This window comes from Homo sapiens, chromosome 5 (assembly GCF_000001405.40).
Source record: "Homo sapiens chromosome 5, GRCh38.p14 Primary Assembly".
In the NCBI taxonomy this organism is placed as follows: Eukaryota; Metazoa; Chordata; class Mammalia; order Primates; family Hominidae; genus Homo; species Homo sapiens.
In genome coordinates this window covers 88700715-88724864 of record NC_000005.10, presented here as the reverse complement: position 1 = coordinate 88724864, position 24150 = coordinate 88700715, and the positions used below count along the sequence as shown (strand labels likewise).

At 37.6% G+C, this 24150-nt stretch overlaps 1 protein-coding gene and 1 long non-coding RNA gene across 80 annotated transcripts in view; one reads left to right on the top strand and one right to left on the bottom strand.

The window, feature by feature from the left end:
- Positions 1-7748, top strand: part of MEF2C (myocyte enhancer factor 2C) — a 186989-nt gene extending 179241 nt beyond the window's left edge. For 40 of the 79 annotated variants that reach the window (XM_011543396.4, XM_017009478.3, XM_047417190.1 and 37 more), the window contains one exon: positions 1940-7748. In XM_011543396.4, coding sequence (XP_011541698.1) covers positions 1940-2261 — 322 coding nt within the window. In that variant the 3' untranslated portion in view covers positions 2262-7748. The remainder of the gene's footprint in view (positions 1-1939) is intronic. The other 39 variants (XM_047417208.1, XM_047417213.1, XM_047417206.1 and 36 more) reach the window with 3 other exon arrangements.
- The window catches only part of MEF2C-AS2 (MEF2C antisense RNA 2), a 46614-nt gene continuing 24497 nt past the window's right edge, over positions 2034-24150 (bottom strand). Inside the window, exons 2-4 of the long non-coding RNA NR_146284.1 lie at positions 19209-19342; positions 12000-12074; positions 2034-2241 (exon numbers count right to left, since the gene is read on the bottom strand). This is a non-coding gene — a long non-coding RNA (MEF2C antisense RNA 2). The remainder of the gene's footprint in view (positions 2242-11999; positions 12075-19208; positions 19343-24150) is intronic.

The window sequence follows — 24150 nt, the reverse complement described above, 5'->3', positions numbered from 1 at the left end:
ATTTAATTAAATTTTAGTGAAATGGTCTTTCTTAGAGCCAGGAAAATTCTTTATTCCAGAAATCAAAAGACGATTTCCTCAAACATCAGAATGAATCACTAAGTAACTTTGAACCAAGATAAAATAGTCTACCATTATGAATCCTTTTGAAATACAGGTGTTCCCTCTCCCCATTTTAACAAGGCTTATTTAATTAAAACTTTTGGAAAATTAGTAAACTGATAGACTATAAATTAATAAGCTACAAATAAATAGCTCCAAATATAAACAGGTGTTTGAAAATTATATACAGTCAGTGTAGTTTCTTGATATAAATGCTAACACTGCTTTGATTATATAAGATCATAAAAGCTAGAGAAAGAGACGCTTATTAAGGAAACAAATAATTCTCCTTTATATTATTCTCTACATTAGCTCATCTATTTATTAATAGGAGAAGGAAAGTAATTCTTTGCCAGTAGGTGGTGCTTTTGTACAAAACATCACTCAAAGATAAACTCGTTTCTGACTAATTTTATATCACTATACATCTTGAGTTTGTATTGCATCTCCCAAAAAGCCAGCCCCAAGTTACTTCACTTTTTTTCTGAAATATATACTTTTTCTCTCAGTGGTCATAATGACATTGTTAGTGCCAACTAATTCTCTCCACTGGAAAGCAGCATAATTACATACATTAGTAAGTAGGCTTGCTTTCCTTTGTTTAAAATGGGTGTGTCTGTATGGATAATTCTTCACTTGGATTCTTCCTCAGTAAAAGAGAGTACCATGCTCTTTTGACAATATAGTCAAGTAATCCTGACTCTAGCTCTGGAAGTCAGTGTAATTAGTGTAAGAAGAGTAAAAGCATCTTAAAATTGATGCGAGCAATGCCACTATGGTTTATCCTGATCAAAGTCATTGTGATTGCTAATCTACACTTAAGGGCTTAATACTTTTTTCCTCTAGAATTCCAAGTTTCTAAATTTTCCCAGATTTTGGAAAAAGGAAAAATTATTCTCTCTGGGAATATATGAGGATTAAGGATTATAAACACAGTAAAATCACACTACATCCTTCTTGGCAACAAGCTTTCCTTAGGCAACACCAGATTCATCAACTAATGCCAATGATAAATAAGAGGAGTGGTAGCCTAAGAACCGCACGCATCAGGGAGTGACTAACATTAATAAAATTGAGGTCATTGTGGAACACAAAGTATTTTCATCTCATGTAACTGCAAAAGGATGAAGAAAGTCAAATTATCAGTTTTAATGGAGTAGAAAGTCTTAAGTGTTTGAAAACCAACGTTTAAACTTTCTGCAGATAATTTTCAATTTCCCTCCCCCTTTCCATTTTTTCCACCTCCAAAGCTTTTTACCAGATACAGTTATTGTGCAGCATTTGAGTTCTAGTCATTTAAAATTTAACTCCCTTCACTTTCTCTGAAGACTATGTGATTCCATCTGTATGTGCTTATTAATTGGAGGCAAATATTTATATTGATAATAAGCTTTTAAAAATAATATTCAAACACAAGCATTAGTAAATCAAGGAAGTCTAATTCCAGAGCTAAACACTGTATCTAAATGCTTAGAAATTTAATTTTTAGAACTAGTCTAGGGATAGAGTCCATGAACACAGAAAATGCTTTTTCCATTGTGTCTTAAACCTTTCTGAAATGGTAACCTATATGTTTAGGGAGCCTCTCGGAGACTAGAGATATAATTCATGAGGCCTGGACCAGTTAAATGCTGTAATTACTACCGGGCAAATCAACAAAGGCATCCTAAATCGCCCTGAGAAGGCGATGCCCTTATGTGCTTCCAAGCACGTTTTCTTCACTCTGGGCATGCTCTGGTGTCTATGCGAGTCTTTAAGCTGATGTTTGATTTAATTGTGAGTTCCTGGGGCCTCCAGGCCTCCTTCATCTGTAACTGGGTTTCCTTTCCTCCTACAGAGCTTGCACTAGCACTCATTTATCTCAGAGTTCAAATCTCTCCCTGCCTTCTACTCAAAGCCTCAACATCAAGTCAGAACCTGTTTCTCCTCCTAGAGACCGTACCACCACCCCTTCGAGATACCCACAACACACGCGCCACGAGGCGGGGAGATCTCCTGTTGACAGCTTGAGCAGCTGTAGCAGTTCGTACGACGGGAGCGACCGAGAGGATCACCGGAACGAATTCCACTCCCCCATTGGACTCACCAGACCTTCGCCGGACGAAAGGGAAAGTCCCTCAGTCAAGCGCATGCGACTTTCTGAAGGATGGGCAACATGATCAGATTATTACTTACTAGTTTTTTTTTTTTTCTTGCAGTGTGTGTGTGTGCTATACCTTAATGGGGAAGGGGGGTCGATATGCATTATATGTGCCGTGTGTGGAAAAAAAAAAAGTCAGGTACTCTGTTTTGTAAAAGTACTTTTAAATTGCCTCAGTGATACAGTATAAAGATAAACAGAAATGCTGAGATAAGCTTAGCACTTGAGTTGTACAACAGAACACTTGTACAAAATAGATTTTAAGGCTAACTTCTTTTCACTGTTGTGCTCCTTTGCAAAATGTATGTTACAATAGATAGTGTCATGTTGCAGGTTCAACGTTATTTACATGTAAATAGACAAAAGGAAACATTTGCCAAAAGCGGCAGATCTTTACTGAAAGAGAGAGCAGCTGTTATGCAACATATAGAAAAATGTATAGATGCTTGGACAGACCCGGTAATGGGTGGCCATTGGTAAATGTTAGGAACACACCAGGTCACCTGACATCCCAAGAATGCTCACAAACCTGCAGGCATATCATTGGCGTATGGCACTCATTAAAAAGGATCAGAGACCATTAAAAGAGGACCATACCTATTAAAAAAAAATGTGGAGTTGGAGGGCTAACATATTTAATTAAATAAATAAATAAATCTGGGTCTGCATCTCTTATTAAATAAAAATATAAAAATATGTACATTACATTTTGCTTATTTTCATATAAAAGGTAAGACAGAGTTTGCAAAGCATTTGTGGCTTTTTGTAGTTTACTTAAGCCAAAATGTGTTTTTTTCCCCTTGATAGCTTCGCTAATATTTTAAACAGTCCTGTAAAAAACCAAAAAGGACTTTTTGTATAGAAAGCACTACCCTAAGCCATGAAGAACTCCATGCTTTGCTAACCAAGATAACTGTTTTCTCTTTGTAGAAGTTTTGTTTTTGAAATGTGTATTTCTAATTATATAAAATATTAAGAATCTTTTAAAAAAATCTGTGAAATTAACATGCTTGTGTATAGCTTTCTAATATATATAATATTATGGTAATAGCAGAAGTTTTGTTATCTTAATAGCGGGAGGGGGGTATATTTGTGCAGTTGCACATTTGAGTAACTATTTTCTTTCTGTTTTCTTTTACTCTGCTTACATTTTATAAGTTTAAGGTCAGCTGTCAAAAGGATAACCTGTGGGGTTAGAACATATCACATTGCAACACCCTAAATTGTTTTTAATACATTAGCAATCTATTGGGTCAACTGACATCCATTGTATATACTAGTTTCTTTCATGCTATTTTTATTTTGTTTTTTGCATTTTTATCAAATGCAGGGCCCCTTTCTGATCTCACCATTTCACCATGCATCTTGGAATTCAGTAAGTGCATATCCTAACTTGCCCATATTCTAAATCATCTGGTTGGTTTTCAGCCTAGAATTTGATACGCTTTTTAGAAATATGCCCAGAATAGAAAAGCTATGTTGGGGCACATGTCCTGCAAATATGGCCCTAGAAACAAGTGATATGGAATTTACTTGGTGAATAAGTTATAAATTCCCACAGAAGAAAAATGTGAAAGACTGGGTGCTAGACAAGAAGGAAGCAGGTAAAGGGATAGTTGCTTTGTCATCCGTTTTTAATTATTTTAACTGACCCTTGACAATCTTGTCAGCAATATAGGACTGTTGAACAATCCCGGTGTGTCAGGACCCCCAAATGTCACTTCTGCATAAAGCATGTATGTCATCTATTTTTTCTTCAATAAAGAGATTTAATAGCCATTTCAAGAAATCCCATAAAGAACCTCTCTATGTCCCTTTTTTTAATTTAAAAAAAATGACTCTTGTCTAATATTCGTCTATAAGGGATTAATTTTCAGACCCTTTAATAAGTGAGTGCCATAAGAAAGTCAATATATATTGTTTAAAAGATATTTCAGTCTAGGAAAGATTTTCCTTCTCTTGGAATGTGAAGATCTGTCGATTCATCTCCAATCATATGCATTGACATACACAGCAAAGAAGATATAGGCAGTAATATCAACACTGCTATATCATGTGTAGGACATTTCTTATCCATTTTTTCTCTTTTACTTGCATAGTTGCTATGTGTTTCTCATTGTAAAAGGCTGCCGCTGGGTGGCAGAAGCCAAGAGACCTTATTAACTAGGCTATATTTTTCTTAACTTGATCTGAAATCCACAATTAGACCACAATGCACCTTTGGTTGTATCCATAAAGGATGCTAGCCTGCCTTGTACTAATGTTTTATATATTAAAAAAAAAAAATCTATCAACCATTTCATATATATCCCACTACTCAAGGTATCCATGGAACATGAAAGAATAACATTTATGCAGAGGAAAAACAAAAACATCCCTGAAAATATACACACTCATACACACACACGCACAGGGGAATAAAATAAGAAAATCATTTTCCTCACCATAGACTTGATCCCATCCTTACAACCCATCCTTCTAACTTGATGTGTATAAAATATGCAAACATTTCACAAATGTTCTTTGTCATTTCAAAATACTTTAGTATATCAATATCAGTAGATACCAGTGGGTGGGAAAGGGTCATTACATGAAAATATGAAGAAATAGCCATATTAGTTTTTTAACCTGCAATTTGCCTCAGCAACAAAGAAAAAGTGAATTTTTAATGCTGAAGATAAAGTAAGCTAAAGTACCAGCAGAAGCCTTGGCTATTTATAGCAGTTCTGACAATAGTTTTATAAGAACATGAAGAGAACAGAATCACTTGAAAATGGATGCCAGTCATCTCTTGTTCCCACTACTGAATTCTTATAAAGTGGTGGCAAGATAGGGAAGGGATAATCTGAGAATTTTTAAAAGATGATTTAATGAGAAGAAGCACAATTTTGATTTTGATGAGTCACTTTCTGTAAACAATCTTGGTCTATCTTTACCCTTATACCTTATCTGTAATTTACCATTTATTGTATTTGCAAAGCTAGTATGGTTTTTAATCACAGTAAATCCTTTGTATTCCAGACTTTAGGGCAGAGCCCTGAGGGAGTATTATTTTACATAACCCGTCCTAGAGTAACATTTTAGGCAACATTCTTCATTGCAAGTAAAAGATCCATAAGTGGCATTTTACACGGCTGCGAGTATTGTTATATCTAATCCTATTTTAAAAGATTTTTGGTAATATGAAGCTTGAATACTGGTAACAGTGATGCAATATACGCAAGCTGCACAACCTGTATATTGTATGCATTGCTGCGTGGAGGCTGTTTATTTCAACCTTTTTAAAAATTGTGTTTTTTAGTAAAATGGCTTATTTTTTCCCAAAGGTGGAATTTAGCATTTTGTAATGATGAATATAAAAATACCTGTCATCCCCAGATCATTTAAAAGTTAACTAAAGTGAGAATGAAAAAACAAAATTCCAAGACACTTTTTAAAAGAATGTCTGCCCTCACACACTTTTATGGATTTGTTTTTCTTACATACCCATCTTTTAACTTAGAGATAGCATTTTTTGCCCTCTTTATTTTGTTGTTTGTTTCTCCAGAGAGTAAACGCTTTGTAGTTCTTTCTTTAAAAAACATTTTTTTTAAAGAAGAAGAAGCCACTTGAACCCTCAATAAAGGCTGTTGCCTAAGCATGGCATACTTCATCTGTTCTCATTTGTGCCATCTGCCGTGATGTCGTCACTTTTATGGCGTTAATTTCCTGCCACTACAGATCTTTTGAAGATTGCTGGAATACTGGTGTCTGTTAGAATGCTTCAGACTACAGATGTAATTAAAGGCTTTTCTTAATATGTTTTAACCAAAGATGTGGAGCAATCCAAGCCACATATCTTCTACATCAAATTTTTCCATTTTGGTTATTTTCATAATCTGGTATTGCATTTTGCCTTCCCTGTTCATACCTCAAATTGATTCATACCTCAGTTTAATTCAGAGAGGTCAGTTAAGTGACGGATTCTGTTGTGGTTTGAATGCAGTACCAGTGTTCTCTTCGAGCAAAGTAGACCTGGGTCACTGTAGGCATAGGACTTGGATTGCTTCAGATGGTTTGCTGTATCATTTTTCTTCTTTTTCTTTTCCTGGGGACTTGTTTCCATTAAATGAGAGTAATTAAAATCGCTTGTAAATGAGGGCATACAAGCATTTGCAACAAATATTCAAATAGAGGCTCACAGCGGCATAAGCTGGACTTTGTCGCCACTAGATGACAAGATGTTATAACTAAGTTAAACCACATCTGTGTATCTCAAGGGACTTAATTCAGCTGTCTGTAGTGAATAAAAGTGGGAAATTTTCAAAAGTTTCTCCTGCTGGAAATAAGGTATAATTTGTATTTTGCAGACAATTCAGTAAAGTTACTGGCTTTCTTAGTGATGCAGTGTCCGTGGTGCATTTTTTTAAATTAATGTTTTGCTGTTTAAATTTATTCAATTTTATTGTGTTTTTTAAAAAGCAGCTTATGCCACAAGCACAAATGAGCTTTCTCAGTTTTCAACTCAAAATATTATATGAAAAGATGGATATGTGTGTCTGTGTGGGAGGGGTGTGAATTGGATGACGGTTCTTAGGGTATTACAGAATTCAGCCAGTGGTGGAAGTCTAAGGTTCTTATTGAATGGTTCAACTTCTTTATCAAAGAAGTTCCATGAAGATCTTTGATAACCTGTTTAAATGTACAGAATTTTTCAAAAGCCACTGTGAAAAGCAGTACCATAAGTTATTTTTTAACTAAAATCTGTAGAAAGTGTTTCCAAAAGAGTTCCTTTTTTCTTCTTCGAAGTAATTTCTAAAAGTTGAAAACATAGGCTTATAAATCTGAATAAATTAGTGAATTCATACATTTTAGAGACTATCAAATATATCCATTATTAACATTCAATAATAATCTCTAAAGGGGAATGTCCTTAAAAAGATTGATAGAAAGATTAATTTAAAAACTGAAAAGGAAAACAAGACACCACCAGTTAGCCAGCTGGAGAACTTGGACTTTTGCATTAGTAGTGATATCTGCTCCAAAAAGAATGCAGTTCGAGGAAATGTTGCATGTGGCTTCAAAATAGCAGTGCTTTCTGCTTTGTTCTCTTGTATTCATTTTCAGCAAACATGTATTAAGCAATTATTATATGTAACTCATGTGGTGATTCCAGGATGAATGAAGTTGTAGCCCTTTCTCTTAGGAAACTTATAAACTAATAGGAGATAAAAGGCATTCTCAGGGAAGTCTACAAAGTGCTATGAGGGAGCCACTTTGGCCATCCTGGGGCAGAGCAGACCAGAGGCTCAGAGCATGGACACTTCCTCATCCACCCAGCAGAAGCCTTTCACTTGATTTTGAAGGTGGGCAGGATTGAGAAAGGCCCAGAAGGGGATGAGTTCAAAGCTGTTTGTGGGCATGTGACCCCTGCAGTCACATATGGCCCTAGCTTGTGTTTCGTTTAGTGTTCTGCTATCATTATCCTGATAATATCCTGATAATAAAATTATCCTTAATAATTTTATATTTGAGTTTGAATGTTGTAAGCAAAGTCCTGTAGGACAATAGAGCATGTGCCTGAACAGAAGAGATACACAGGAAAAAGTGAACTGTTTTATATTTTAGTACCTTTAACAGAGAGAACCTTTTATTTCACTTTTTCAACAAGGACTTCCACATTTTCATTCTGCACTGGGCCCTGGAATCATGACACCATCCCTGGATGTGGGCATTTCACAGGGAAGAAATAGTAGATACAAAGGTACAGAGATGGGAAAGCAAGAGACAAACTTACAGGAATTGTGGGCCTTTCTATTTACGTAAAGTGTAGCCGTGTGTAGGGGAGCAGTGAGACAAGACTGGAAGAGTTAGTTTGCCTCTGATTATATAATCGCAAATTTAAAAGAGTTAGGTTTAAGCAAGTAATTGAAAGATTTAGGAGAGAGAAAATTGTCAGAATTCAGTAAATGGTTAGATTAATGGTAGGAGTGGTGATAGATAAGGAATTGTTAAAGTTTACAGTTTTAGGCTTAAATGATTAGGATCCTAGTAATGTCCAAACTGGAAATTGAGAGGTCACTGCTTTGTGAGGAAGGTAGTCACTTCAGTTTTCAGTATGTTGAGTTAGAATATGAGAAAGTTGTAAATAAGGACTTAAACTCAGGATTCAGTTAATGCTGGCCTGATTTGGATGTGTGGGTGTTTTTTTTTTCTTTCAATTATGTTTGAAAGTCTGGATTAAATAGAGATACTGAATTTGGCAAGGGAACCCTATTCAGAACAGAGCATCTGAATTTTCATCTTGTGATTTGAGAAAACCCTTTTTCCATTTTGTTTGCATATTTCTATGGCATCTTTCCTATGTGTTATCCTTGCAGACTGACTTCTAAACAAGATCCAGTGATGAAGGAGTAAAGCCAAGTTCACTTCCCTACTGTGCATATCCCTTGGATTCCAACTGTCCGAATTGCCTGAAAGCAAATATCTCCATCACCAGAAATGAGGCTGCTCTTTAACCTCTCCTGTCCTAAGCATGGCCTCCTTCCTGGGAACTTTTGTTAAGAGTTAGAATTAGGAAAACATGGGAAAATGGTCATTGTTTCTGGCCTTAAAGTAGTTTCTGATCTTATCAATAACCTTGGCTGCCAAATCATCAGCTTCATCTCTTACTCAGTCTGGATTGCTTCAGACTGGAGGAAGAACTTCCAGCCCTCATATACCCATGTTTAGTAGCCAACTTCTAGAAAGGATGCTCACCCTTTGAATCTGGCAACTCAGTACAAGGACCAGACTGAAATGGGAGGAAACATGAATTACTAGTGGGACAATTCTGCATGGAATAGAAAGTAGTTAGGAGAGCACTTTGCTCAAACACTCCAGGGCCAGAAATGTACGGGCCTTGGTAGTTTCCTTGACACGCTCCACCAAGGGAGAGCCAATGCCTGGGAGGTTGCAATGGTAGGGGTAACCTGAGGAAACAGACGTTGAAGTTGGCCTGTGAGTGGGGGCAAGACACTAACAGTTCCTTCACTACAATGGACTTGACCTACATGATCTTATTTAACCTACTTGATGACACTGTGACAAGGGTGCAGTTTTTTTGAGAGGTCTTGGTTAATAATTAAACCAACAATGCCCCTTACAAGCTAAGTAACATTTGTCAACTTACTTATTCCCTCTAAGCACTGATTTTCTCCAAGTCACAGAGTTTATCACTAACTCAGAGGGTTGCTGAGGCTCCATTAAAACTTGATAGGTGCTAATCACTGAAAAGATTGGGAGCCCTACTCTCCCACAAGTTACTCAAAGTAAACACAAGCCTACTCTGTAAAATAATGGTAAAAGAAGTCAACAAAGTTCTGATTTTTCCTATGATGACCACAGTATGCTATTTTATTTCTTTAGGAATATCACGTTCCCAAAAGATAATTTGGTAGGATCCTACTTTACTAATGCTCAAAGCACCTACTCCACTTACAGAGAAAGCCGAGCTGTGCAGGTATTCATCCCAAAGCTTCACACTACTAGTGCTAAATATATCAAAACACAGGCTTTTCTAGAAGTGATAGTTACAGAAACAATTACTTTCTTCAAACATTTATTCCAGAAATATTCTATATGATATACTCGTTTATTTTTACAAATGAGAGAGCCGTGTTTGGAAATGCAAACCTATGTGTATGCAAAAGCTTATATGTGTAATATTCATGATTAAAGTCTTAGGGAAGGTCCCTATCCCTGCAGGAGTGCTTAAGTAAATTGTGGTACATCCTCCCAATTGAATCCTATGTAACCATTTTTTGAAAAACACAAAACAAACTAAAGCCTCTATGTACTGATATAGAAAACTCCATAACATATCATTAGGTAAAAAGCAATAACAGAGCAGTGTATAGAGTAAGCTACCTTTCAGGTAAGAAAAGGAGGAGACCAAAACAATAAGTTTTCTTAAATTTGCATAAAGAAACCCTAGAAGAACACACAAAGAAATGAAAATACAGCCGGGCATGGTGGCTCACACCTGTAATCCCAGCACTTTGGGAGGCCAAGGCAGGTGGATCACCTGAGCTCGGGAGTTTGAGACCAGCCTGGCCAACATGGGGAAACCCCGTCTCCACTAAAAATAAAAAAAAAACAAAATTGGCTGGTGTGGTGGCATGCCTGTAATCTGAGCTACTCGGGAGGCTGAGGCAGGAGAATTGCTTGAACCCAGGAGGCAGAAGTTGCAGTGAGCCGAGATTATGCCACCGCACTCCAGCCTGGGTGACAGAGCGAGACTCCATCTAAAAAAAATTAAAAATAAAAAACTTAAAAAAAAAAAGAAATGAAGAAAGTAGTTACTAACATGGCAAGGGGTTGGGGAAAGAGGTGAATGAGAGGAAAGATTTAACAACACATATTTTTAAATATTGTTTTTATTTTTGAGCTATATGATATGCCACTTATTTTTTTTAAGATTTTAGTTTGAAAAAAAGGCTTCCCCCCAAAAGCAAATGCCACACACTGAATAGATTTACAGGGAACTCTCCTCTAATGAAGCAGCCTTTGGAAAGAAAATGCCAGTGTGTAGAGCAAACCTCAGGACTGATAGGCTCGCCTCTAGGATTCTCCAGGCACAGATGGCCTCAGCTGTCAGTTCTGGATGACACGACCACAACCTTAAGGTTAGCAGTTTGCTTCTCTATTGACTACACTAACTGGCCAAAGAGCCTTACTTAAGCAAGCAGTTTTCTATAATTAAATCACAAATATTAATTTAGAATTCATCCTATAAGGTTTAATTTACTCTGCCTAGTTAATAATCAGTTTATCCTATCAGCCATCTAATATTAAGACTATAAATCTAGAGATCTTGGCTGAATTTCCGTTGCTTCCTTGCTCATTGCCATTGTAACCTGCTCCCCTATGACCAACCCAGCTATAGTATTAGAACACAGAAAGCATGTCATTCTTACCAACTCCTGTGTCCATAACAATCAGCTGAAATTGCATGGAGACTATGTTACTTTTTGGTACTTTCAAATTCATCAGCTAAATTTCCAAGTAAGATTTGGGAGGCTGAAAATAATATTTTTCACTATTTTCCATCTTTTCATTCTTCCCATTTACTATCCTGGTTTATGTGCTTTGCATGTGAAAAAGATTATTTGAGCAAATCAAAAAACATTTTCTTTACTTTAGAGTTCTACTGGCAATAAAAGAATAATGCTTTCCCTCATGAACATGTACAATTGTTATTTATCAATTGAAATAATTTTTTTTCAAAAATAAAGAATAATACTTTCTGGCCAGAAGTGATAGCTTACACCCTGTAATCCCAATGGTTTGGGAGGCTGAGGTGAGCAGATCACTTGAGCCCAGGAGTTTAAGACCAGCCTGAACAACATAGTGAGATGCCTGTCCTACAAAAAAATTTAAAAATTAGCCTGTCATGGTGGTGCACACCTATAGTCATAGCTATTCTGGAGGCTGAGGCAAAAGGGTCACTGGAGCCCAGGAGTTAAAGGTTATAGTGAGCTATGATTGCACTATTGCACTCCAGCCTGGGGGACACAGCAAGACCCTGTAGCTATAAGAGAGAGAGAGACAGAATAATAGTTTCTTCTATCTCTCTCCTGAATCCCCCAACCAGTAATGATATTTGTCCTTTGAGTTTAATAACTACGAAATAACTCAGAAAAATGATTTTTGTCTTCTAACCAATGTGTCCTCTCCAGAGTCCACTTTAAATATACTGACAATACAAAGACATACACAACAGCCCTTCCTCACCTACCTTGATAAAGCCCAGTTTTCTTCCTGCCTTTTTAATAATGCATTTTGTAGACTCTGAGAATAGAAGAGAGAGTTCCTATGAAATATAAAATCAAGAAACAGGAGACATGATACATTGAACTTCTGTATTTTAAAAATTATGTATGACTAGTTATTAGATAAACCAGAATGTAACTAATTTCAGTGCTAATTGTGATAACAATTATTAAAATTCACTCATTAAAATTTATGTGAGGATTATGCTGCATGAAAGAATCTGGGCACAAAAGAGAACAAACTGTATAATTGCATTTATATACAGTTCAAGAACAGACAAAACTAATCTATGCTGATAGAAATGAGAACAGTAGTTGCCTGTTGGTGGCGGTGGGAACTGACTAGAAGGGGGCACCAAGGGACTTACTTCAGTGACAGAAAAGTTATATATCTTGACTGGGATCATTTGTTAAAATTGACCTAGTGTACATTTAAGATCTGTGTATTTCACTCTGTGTAAATTTTACCAGAATTTTAAAATACTTATATGAAGATAAATCTCAAATTCAGAATATTATGTAAGAAATAGTAGTAGGGAGGCCAAGCACGGTGGCTCACGCATGTAATCCCAGCACTTTGGGAGGTCGAGGTGGGCGGATCACGAGGTCAAGAGATCGAGACCATCCTGGCGAACATGGTGAAACCCCATCTCTACTAAAAATACAAAAATTAGCTGGGCATGGTGGCACGCACCTGTAGTCCCAGCTACTCGGGAGCCTGAGGCAGGAGAATTGCTTGAATCCGGGAGGTGGAGGCTGCAGTGAGCCAAGATCAAGCCACTGCACTCCAGCCTGCCAATAGAGCGAGACTCTGTCTCAAAAAAAAAAAAAAAAAAAAAAAAAAAGAAAAGAAAAGAAAAGAAAAAGAAAAAGAAATAGTAGTAGGAGTTACTACTCTAAGGTATCTCCTGTTGAAGTATATGAGGGCCTGCTTCAATACAGATAATCATTATGCTTCCATTGAGCCCTGATTCAAATCAAGATAAACTACTCAAAGAATATTAGTTCTCTTAAATACTTTGAACATACTCAACTATAACATTTGCTGTGCTGTTATATTACCATAGATAAAGGGAAGTAAATTCCAGCTCAATCCTGATCAAGTTAACACAAATGCTAAAGTAGTAGCAGTAATCTAACATAATTACATCGAGACTGATCATGTAATGTAATAATACACATCACATAAATTGACTACTTCAAGGATGAAGATATTATTTATTGCAGAATATTAAATGGCTTGATTATTTTGCTATCTGGGGTCTTATACCATACTCTTACTCTTGCTCAATGTAATGTTAAACCTCAGAAGATAAAAAAGAATAAGAAAGCTAAAATTCTTATATTTTGTCTCTAGACTGTCCAAAATGAGGCTTCATTAATTTTCGCCCCAGGGAAACTATTTGAAGCTTCAATATTTATAGTACCAAGAGTGACAGTCAATGCAACCGGTAATATTAAAGCACCTTCTTATAAAATTGATCATTCAGCCATTCGTCTTTGAGGGTTAAATAAAGGACAACACAAATAAAAATAAAAGGCCCGGGTACATTTTGAGGTGCACTTAGTGAAATTAAGTGCAAGGCCTATCTGCTTAAGTCCTCTGAAGCTAGCAGTGGAATTTCATGAGTGTATGAATTTCAGAGAAAAGTACATATGATCAATAGAAAAAAATGCTTAAATGGGAGGAGGACAGTAGACATTGCAATATTCTCTTAATTATTAAGAAAAAAAGATGTCAAACATTAAAACAAACATTTTTCATAAAGCATTAGAAACTATTTGTTGTTAATGCATTTGATCAAATATGTGTATATAATTCTAATTGACGTTCAGCATTTACATGCACACACGCATAATACATATATAACACACATACATAACATATATATAGTTCATGAACATGAATTAGATTGATACAATCAACAGTAGAAAAGAAGTCTTGATTTTATCTACGTGGATATTTGTCTTGGAAAATGAACTCTATGATAGCAAAAGATTTCCCATGTTGGCTTTTGCTGTCCTTTGTCTGTCACCACCACAAGGCTGTGCACACCCAACACAAGCAAACATCAGTGTTTGAGGACAAGCAGAAAGAATATAAGAAAAGCGCATAAGAAAGTAGATATTTGGGTCAAATTTATAAGGTCACATTATAAGGATGACTGCTCTGTTTCTTCTGGATAACATCAAAGAGTGACCATTGTATTACTCCCAATATGTCTTCATGCTGAAGAGGAAGATGTAAAGGTGCACTTGTGTAGAAAAGGTGAGGAAGCAAGTGTCCTATAGAGATACCCAAACACCAGCATTTGTTTTATTATAAACCATCATATAGATTAAAATAATCTTTAATTGTGGTCTTGTGCTATTTTAATTATGTAATAAGTAATGTCTTAAGTCCTTAGTAATATATAACTTATTATATATTAAGAAATATTTTAATCTTTATCGTGTCATGGTATGGTCAAAAGTTACAAACTTTGACACCTGTGTTTAATGCCCCCTTGGCCAGCTACAAGTTACGAAAAAAATTTTTAACCACTCTTGGTCAGTTTCTTCATCTGTAAGTGGAAATAATATCTATATTTAGGGATGTTATAAAGGTTTTTAAAACTATGTATACACACACATATATATAACTGTTATACACATTATACATAGATTTTTATATAGTTATGTGTATGTGCATATACATATACATACACACACACACATATGTGTGTATCACTCAGTATTTACCTATTTTAGCACACTATATAGCACTACACATTCACAGCATCTTAGTGAAAAATAAATATACCTCCAATGGAGCTGAAACATTCTAGGGAGTAACTGGGGATAGTAAATGATTACTTTCCTTACCTGGAACCAACCACTAGGAGTAATGAACTAAATATTAAAAAATTTCTAAATGCAATTTTTAAAAATAATTTAAAATATGTTCAAAAAGATTAGAAAATGAAACTATTATGAAGAAGTATTATTGTTGGGAGACAGTCCTCTATGGGTCTCTCCCATTGATACACATCTTGTTGGGTTTGCCAGGAATGCGAATGCAGGACCAGCCTAGTCTTCTCTTTTTGTCGCCCAGGCTGTAGTGCAGTGGTGCGATCTTGGCTCACTGCAACCTCCGCCTTTGGGTTTCAAACAATTATCCTGCATCAGCCTCCTGAGTAGCTAGGACTACAGGCATGAGACAGGGTTCCACCGTGTTGGCCAGGCTGGTCTTGAACTCCTGACCCTAAGTGATCTGCTACCTTAGCCTCCAAAAGTGCTGGGATTACAGGCGTTAGCCACTGCGCCCAGCCTCAAGACCAGACTACTCTTTAACCAGGTCATTTCTCAAGGTTGGATTTGCAGTGAGCAGCCCTGAAAGATAAGGTAAAATCTTCCTCTGAGACAAAGAGTCGGCTTTTTACTGCTTGTTATAAAAGTGGTGAATTCCCCAAACTTAGTGTTCCTCAGCTATACAAACCCACTGTGCACATAGCAACCATCCAAGCTATATCACACCACCATATCACACAGAACTGTGGACAAAGAGAATCAATGCAGATATGTTGATGCTCATGCTGTTTGCTGTGCCATGAGAAATAAATACTTTTGCCTGACTCAGGAGTCTCATGTTTTCTGCCAACCTCTATCAAACAGTAACAGGCTTACTCAATAGTTTCTAACTTTTGGCAGGGGGATGGGTTGGTGGCAGAAACATGTTTCTTTTTTAAAAAGGAAGGACAAGGCTCCCACAGTTTTCATTCGAAGATATGAAAAGACCCCCTGGAATCCAGTAGCTAATGTTCTTGCCGAAGTGGTAGATGGGGTATGGGTGGAAGTGGGTAAGAGTTCCCCACTGTTTTACTTGTTAATGAGGATAAACAATGAGAGCTAAAATTGAAGCAAGCTACAGAAATGGTGTCTTAGCTGTTGCTCACTCTCCTACAAATGGCCAGAGGAAGGGATATTAACATTACAAAAGGAACAGAAAACTCCAGCTAAAAGATAGTGTGGCTGTGGCTATGGAGTCAAACAGTTCCTAAAACTGAAATAAGTGATGTCAGAAATAGGGATTTTGCTCATCAATATAGACCTTTAGGTAAACTGCAAACATTAGAAGTTTGGTTGCACCATGAGCAGGCAGCCTCTCAAAAGCAAAAGTGAACAGGGCTGGCCATGCCTGTCTACCTGGTCTCTGCTATAGTCAAACTTGCCTAGCAAGAAGAAAGAGGCACTGGATGTTGGGTGGCTGAAAGCTCACAAGACAAAATGTAGTGATATAGACAAGGACAAAAAGAGAGGGACCCCTGGACCTAAGCACTCTCCAGATGCCAGAGGTGCACAGAGAAGGAAGCAGCACTGGGGCTAAGATATCCATCTTAGAGTCAAGGGTCAAGGGGAATGAAAAGGCTAAAAATTATGTTTCTTCCTACTATTCCCACCAATGGACTAGCCTCACCAGCAACCCTGCACCTCCCAACCTCACAGCTGGGGAATAGCATGATCTGGGTACTGCTACTGTACCCCTTGATGAGCATGCGTTAGACTCCCTGACCTGTATCCCTGTAGGGAAAAATGCACCTGAATTCAACTGATGGAGTCTAGGCAAAGTTCACAGTAGACAAATAAACTAAAGTGACCTTATGGGTGGGGCATTTATGCTACCACTATGTACTATTGTGACTTCCACATCTGAACATGTAATGAAATTAAGGTGGTATGTGCCTATACTTCCCTGTTCCATCAGTGATAGACAGGACCCATACAGGAATCACTACATGCACCCTCCCTTTAGGGTGGTCAAGAACAATAAAAACCCAGAGGGAGAAAAGAAATCACAGCTTCAGTTAAAGACTTAAAGGCTGCCAGATTCTCAGAGAGGTCATTTTCAGGACCTCTCAAGACACCATCACTGCCTAACATAGGTGAAAAAGGAAGCTATTAACCTGCTACTAAGGTCTTGTTGAAAGCCGTGCAAGCATTGTGAATCTCTGCCTTGCCATTCCCATTTTAGTTCAGGTCAACTCCAACTTGATGATTAACAAGCTAGGAATGCCCAACAGGCATTATGAGTCAAATGGAAATGGTATATCAAGAGTACCGGCAGCCTGGCCATGGCAGCATTTTGGTTTTACATGAAAAAGTGGCAGCTACCCCTGTGGGGACTTCCTTATCCCTGACTCCACCATGTGTAGCAAAACCAATAGTTCAATGGAATTCTATTCACAGAGGTTTTCCTAAATATTCCGGCCTAGCTCACTGATGATTTAACTAAATTAAAAGCTGATAGTATCTACTAGGAGGCAGTAATCATCCAGCTTCAATGGCAGACTGGAAGACTGTGGTAAGGACCTGTCACCACAATGAGTTGAATTGAAAGCCATTATCCTTGCCTTACACAATACTTCTGAGGGCCACACATGTTGTATTTTTACTGATTCTTTGTCTGTAGTCAATAGCTTAGACATCTGGTCTGGCAGAATAAAGACAGCCCTGTTTAAGGGCAACAAACTAAAAACAAATTGTGGTTGCTGATCGAATAATCTGGGTCACTCAGTACATACCTTTGTAAAGATTCATTTTTGAATGAGAATGACTGGAATGAAGCTGCTAAGCCTGAACTTTCCAGACAGCCACCATTGTCACCTGGATCTATTATAGCATCACACATAGCAACACAGCCATCATCGTGGAATGGGCACATATTAAAAAACAATGTTTCTGGTGCAGATGCCACCACTGCATGCCAGACTTATGACTTTTGCCAAAAATTGGTCTTTCGATGAAGAACTCACTATACTTCAATAGACATTGTCCCTGCCTTTACCTGAACAATTTATTATGTTGGACCTTTGATTCACTCTTGGACTGCCATTGATGCCTTACCACTGTTGACAATTTTTCAGGTTATGGTGTTGCAGTTCTAGACTAATCATCTGACTTTAGTCATACCTTTATGGTCTTTGAATCAAACTCTTTCATGTTTTCAGCTTTCTAGATAATCTATAGTCAGAATGTATGCCTGCTGTCTCAAAGGCCACCCAATAATGAGCCAAAGGTCAAGGTATTTGATGGGTATTCTATGCACCTAGCCATTTACAGGCATTTGATATTGTAGAGCCTTGGAACAGCATTTTCAAAATCAACACAAAAGGATTTCTGACTCCTTCTCCTTCACATTCTCCTGGGCCACACACCTAAGTAAGGCAGTCTAGTCCTTGAATGTAGCCACCCACAGAAACGTTTCATCTCCTTTGCCTGACTCTTGGGTAATGATCAGAAAAGGATGGGAGGTTATCAATACCGATTTGGAAACTTTAGGATCCCACCCTGACCATTTCTGGGCATGATACTTATTTCTTTCCTTTAGCAGCAAACCAGAGGCTGGCATAACTGGTACACGCTCCAGGTGGCAAACTAGCCAAAATGGGGCTTCATCTGTTTTGTTCACTGTGGCACCCTAAGCTGCTAGAATGGTACCTGGCACAGAAGCAACTTCCAAAAATATTTCATGAATTAGTGAATGAATTATATGAATAAAGTATTCCATGACTGTTGGGACCTTTAAACTGGTTTAAAAAATAGCTTAATATGTTAATACATTTAGATCTATTTTATCTATGGTAATCCCTAATACCATTTAATATAAGAATGAACCATCATTTTTCATTTCCTCTACTGATGGACAGTTAATTTGCATGTATCAACATGGGAAAACCTTAAAAACATAAGTTTTGGAGAAAAAGCAAATGTCTAGATACATAAATATGTAGTACAAGATTTCCAAAATGCACAGGAGAAATATATATTAACTTTTAGAGAGTGGCTACCTGTGGAAAGAAAGAAAAGGAGAGTAGACAGGATTAGAAGGTGGAGGGATAATTTTTACTTATTTATTTTCTTTAAAAAGGCTACATGAAAATTAAGATCTTTCAAATGTGAATGGTGGTTAATAAATTTTTGATATTCTGTAATTTTGTTAGCATTTTTCTGCACATTTGAATTATTTTACACTCAAAAATAATTTTTTTTTTTGAGATAGTGTCTCGCTCTACCACCCAGACTAGAGTGCAGTGGTGCAATCTCTACTCACTACAACTTCCACCTCCCAGGCTCAAGCGATTCTCCCACCTCAGCCTCTCCAGTAGCTGAGATTATAGGCACGCATGCCATCTTACCCGGCTAATTTTTGAGTTTTAGCAGAAACGGGGTTTCGCCATGTTGCCCAGGCTGGTCTTGAACTCCTGACCTCAAGCGATCCACATGCTTCGGCCTCCCAAAGTGCTGGGATTACGGGTGTGAGCCACTGCACCTGGCCAAAAAGTAATTTTTAAACTACAATAATATTTTCTGGTTTTGAATAAACTCCTTGATTACTATGGAAAACATAAGAACTTAAGTTCAATCTAAGATTAGCAACTAACATAATATTTTCATTAATTCTCAAAACCAATAATTTCTATCATAATTTGTATTTTATTTCATTTTATATTTTATTTTATTTTATATTTTATTTTGAGACAGGGTCTCAGTCTGTTGTCCAGGCTGGAGTGCAGTGGCATGATCATAGCTCACTATAACTCCGAACTCCTGGGCTCAGGTGATCTTCCCACTTCAGCCCCCGAGTAGCTGGGACTACAGACATGTGCCACCATACCTGGTCAATTTTTTGTTGTTGTTTGTTTTTGGTAGAGACTGGGGTCTCCTCATGTTGCCCAGACTGGTCTCAAACTCCTGGGCTCAAGCAATCCTTCCACCTCAACCTCTCAAAGTGCTGGGATTACAGTCGTAAGCCACCATGCCGGCCCATAGTTTTTATTTTTATATGCATAAAAATAAAATTAAGCTGAATTTTATTTATTTATTTTCAGTTTTAATTAATTTTTTTATCATAGTCTTATCCCTTGCCCCTCTCCCACCCTTTCCCCTGAGTCCCCAAAGTCCATTGTGTCATTCTTATGCCTTTGTGTCCTCATAGCTTAGCTCCCATTTATGAGTGAGAACACATGATGTTTGGTTTTTGTTCCTGAGTTACTTCACTTAGAATAGTGGTCTCCAATTCCATCCAAAGTTGAATTTTGAAAGAAGAAATACAATAGCATTTTATCATTTTATTTGCAGTCTTGTAAGCATATGGATAGGTTAATATTATTTCTCATATCAATTCTATGAGCAGCTAATAATGTCCAATTCCTAGATAATCTATGCAGTATTTCCACATAAACTTACACATACGTACTTAAAGGTTACATAGTTTTGTAAGAGAGGTTCCCTCCACCCATAGTAAGTGAGTAATTCTGCAGAAACCTGCTCCTCACTTTACACTTTACACATACCCAAATTATTTGCTATCAGGTGTTGTATTCTACTTACAGATCCAGTCTCCTGTATGTTTCCTGTTGTTTTACCCAGCCCCTTTGAGGACTAGTTTGAGAGCATTTCAGCTAATTTAATATATAAGTTTGTTATACCAGCAAGAACATCTCTCTATAAGCTGAAAGAAGCCAGAGTGCTTTAAGTTGGCTTAAAAAAAAAATATTAAAGCAAGTTAGAATCTTCAACTATCTTAAGTTAATGAATCAGGTACTAACTAGATAACTTGTAATTTCGTACACCATTACTACACATAAATGTGAGGTTAAATAAGAATGGAGGAAGAAGGAATTACATGTTCTTATGTGTTCATTTGCATTTTCCCCTACAGATTAGTGTCCTTTAATGCTGAATATTAAGGATTTTGAAATAGTTGACTGATGAGTTTCTTATTCTTCTATTATAAAATACATGTATCTGAGAAATAGGAACAACATAGCAAAAAAGTTTGAAGTAACTTTTACTAAGTTCTCAGGTAACTGGGTGTGTAAATTCTGTTAGACTTGACCATGAAAAGAAGATAATGGCTGAGAAACAGAAGATGATCTTGTCAGCCATTTGTAACCAAAGGACATGACCGAGAGATGACCCAGAGATGACTGTGATGTTCTCTTTGCTTTTTTTCTTCCCTAAGCAAATAGTTGTTAAATCCTAGGTGCAGAACAGCATGATTTTTGGTATTTCGGAAAATAAAATAATTTTTTAAAGTATAGACCCTATTGGCTGGGCGCTGTGGCTCACACCTGTAATCCCAGCACTTTGGGAGGCCTAGGCGGGTGGATCACTTAAGGTCAGGAGTTAGAGACAAGCCTGGCCAACATGGCAAAACCCCATCTCTCCTAAAAATACGAAAATTAGCTGGGCATGGTGGCAGGCGCCTGTAGTCCCAGCTATTCAGGAGGCTGAGGCAGGAGAATCGCTTGAACCCGGGAGGCGGAGCTTGCAGTGAGCCGAGATCGCGTCACTGGAGTCCAGCCTGGACGACAGTGAGACTCCGTCTCAAACAAACAAACAAACAAAAAAAGGAATAGCCTCTGTTGTTGAGAAGAGTTAGAAATATAATCTGTTGCTCTGGCAGAGAGCCAAGCCAACTAGTCCTTACTGGACAGGAGTCCAACCATACACTTTGGCTAATTTACTTCCCCTCTTCTGCCAACTGAACCAAGTAGCTTATATGATAGCAATAGCAGTAACATGTGGATTGTCATAAGTAATATCAAAGTGAACTCTAGGTTAAAATAAAACATATACTTAAAAGTTACTCAAACATATACTCAAAACATATACTTAAAAGTTACTCAAAAATCAAGGCTTTTAGTGTGCAAAATACTACAGGTTATTTTCTTTATTTACTTCAATTAAATGTGTAACATTTTTCTAAAAACAAAGACATCGGATCAAGGAAAACTTACCTATTGTGTATTAATGACTGCGTTGTTGTTGTTTCTTTTCTTTCCTTTTTTTTTTTTTTTTTTTTTAGCGACAGAGTGTCACTCTGTCACCCAGGCTGAAGTGCAGTGGTGCAGTCATAGCTCACTGTAATCTCAAACTCCTGACTCAAGCAATCTTCCTGCCTCAGCCTCCTGTGTTGTTTCTTACATTTAGATTTTATATTTATATACCTCTTCTAACTGGTTCTTCCCAGTTTTTTCAATTCAGCACGCCAGAATTGATTTTTAAATTGTGATGGCAATGACTTAGGGGTCTGTGAAACACTATGTTCCTGAAATGACATGTTTTTCTGTTGTGTTTATTTTATGTGGACAAAAAAATAATCTTCCAAGAAAAGATAGAGAAGTTATTTTCATCCAGCTTACAATGCAAACCCCTTTGGGCACAGCTAGTGTACGTTCCTCTCCTGCAGTGCCTGAACAGCAGGAGCTCCTTTGCTTCTTTAGAAATGTCAAAAGGAGGAGGAGCAGGTTGGATATGGTAACAGTACTCTCTGTTGACGTACTCCTGAGCTTCATACTTCTGGAAGCTTCACAATGATGTGGAATGTTATCCTGTGTTTTTCTCTGCCTGCGTCTCTGAAGTCTGTGTGTGTGTGTACACACACACGTATGCTGACACAGATAACTGTTTGAATAGGTCTTGAAGTTAAAACCCTTACTTTACAGTGTTGGTGTCACTGATCTTGAAGCTGCTTTTCTTCCTTGTTTAAGAAAATTGTATTTTATGTAAAGACACCATTAGGACAATGTCAGTAGCACTGCAGTTACATTTTCTGGCCAAAATGACAAGACTCAACAATGAGCCAGAATACAGACTTAATGCATTAAAAATATGACAGGTAAGAGCTTGGTGTAACCAGCCTTCAGGTAAAATTTAAAACTGAGGCAGTATTTTTAATGTAGGAAACCAACTGGAGATGTTCGTGCATAATTTGTAACCATGAAATTGGTTCCAGAAAGGGGTCATGAAAAGCATAGCTCTGCTAAGGCTGCAAAGCTTCTTTAGGGAAAAGTCACTCAACCCCTTCACTAAACCACCTTCTCTTCAGAGTCTTTAACAATGAATGCTTGTTGCAGGAGCTTAGTCACAACGTTTGCCCTGAACACTTGTGAAGGATCAGGCACAATACATTCCTCAGCCATGTGAGGATGTTGGGGCTACCTAGGACTTTCTCTTAGAGATACTTACCTAGGCCTGCTCTCCACAGGAAATATCTGTTGTGTTAGGCTGTTCTTGCATTGCTATAAAGAAATACCTGAGACTGGTAATTTATAAAGAAAAGAAGTTTAATTGGCTCAAGGTTCTGCAGGGTGTACAAGAAGCATGGTGCTGGCATCTGCTTGGCTTCTAGGAAGGCCTCAGGAAACTTACAATCATGGGAAAAGGCAAAGGAGGAGCAGTCAAGTCACATGGCAACAGCAGGAGCAAGCAAGAGAGAGTGGGGCTGGTGCAGGAGTGGGAGTGTCACACACTTTTAAGTGACCATATCTTGCTAGAACTCCCTATCATGAAGACAGCACCAAGCCATGAGGGATCCACTCCCATGATCCAAACACCTTCTACCAGGCCCCACCTCCAGCTTTGGGGATTACACTTCAGCATGAAATTTGGCTGGGGACGAATATCCAAACAATATCACCTGTTCTTCAGACCATTCTTACCCAATTTTGGAGATAAAAAAAATTATATATTTGTGTCCATTTTGCTAAGGCTTCATCCTTTTTTGTTCCAGGAAAACTATTCATGTACCACCATCCTCACCATCATCATCACAGTCTTTGCTGACACTAGATGTACTTACTAGATGCCAGGCACTAATTTCAGGTTTTCAGGCATTAACTCATTGAATCCTCATAACAACATTGTGAGATAGGCACAATCAGTAAAGCTTTTTTATGGGTGAGAAAAATTGAGGCATAGGATGAATTAACTTGCCATAGGGTCACCCCATTGGTAAATCAGAGAGCCAGGACTTGAATGAGATGGTTTCATTTACGGGTCTCATTCACAGGTTAAGCGACTCTTCAATGATTTATTAAGTGTCACTTAACCTGTAAATGCTGGAAATTAATGCATTGACTCTTTCTAGGGTGTCCATCCCTCTCCTCACCAGTATAATGAGGTTTATTCTAAAGGTAAAAATTTTAGATATTATATTAGATCAAAGTGGAACTCTTTCAATTTAGTAGAATTATCAGCAATTCTTCAATCAAACTGGATCATTCCCTCAGGAGCCAGACAGGGACACAAGCCACAGGCTGCCATGAACTAGCTAATCTCAAGAACACTTTC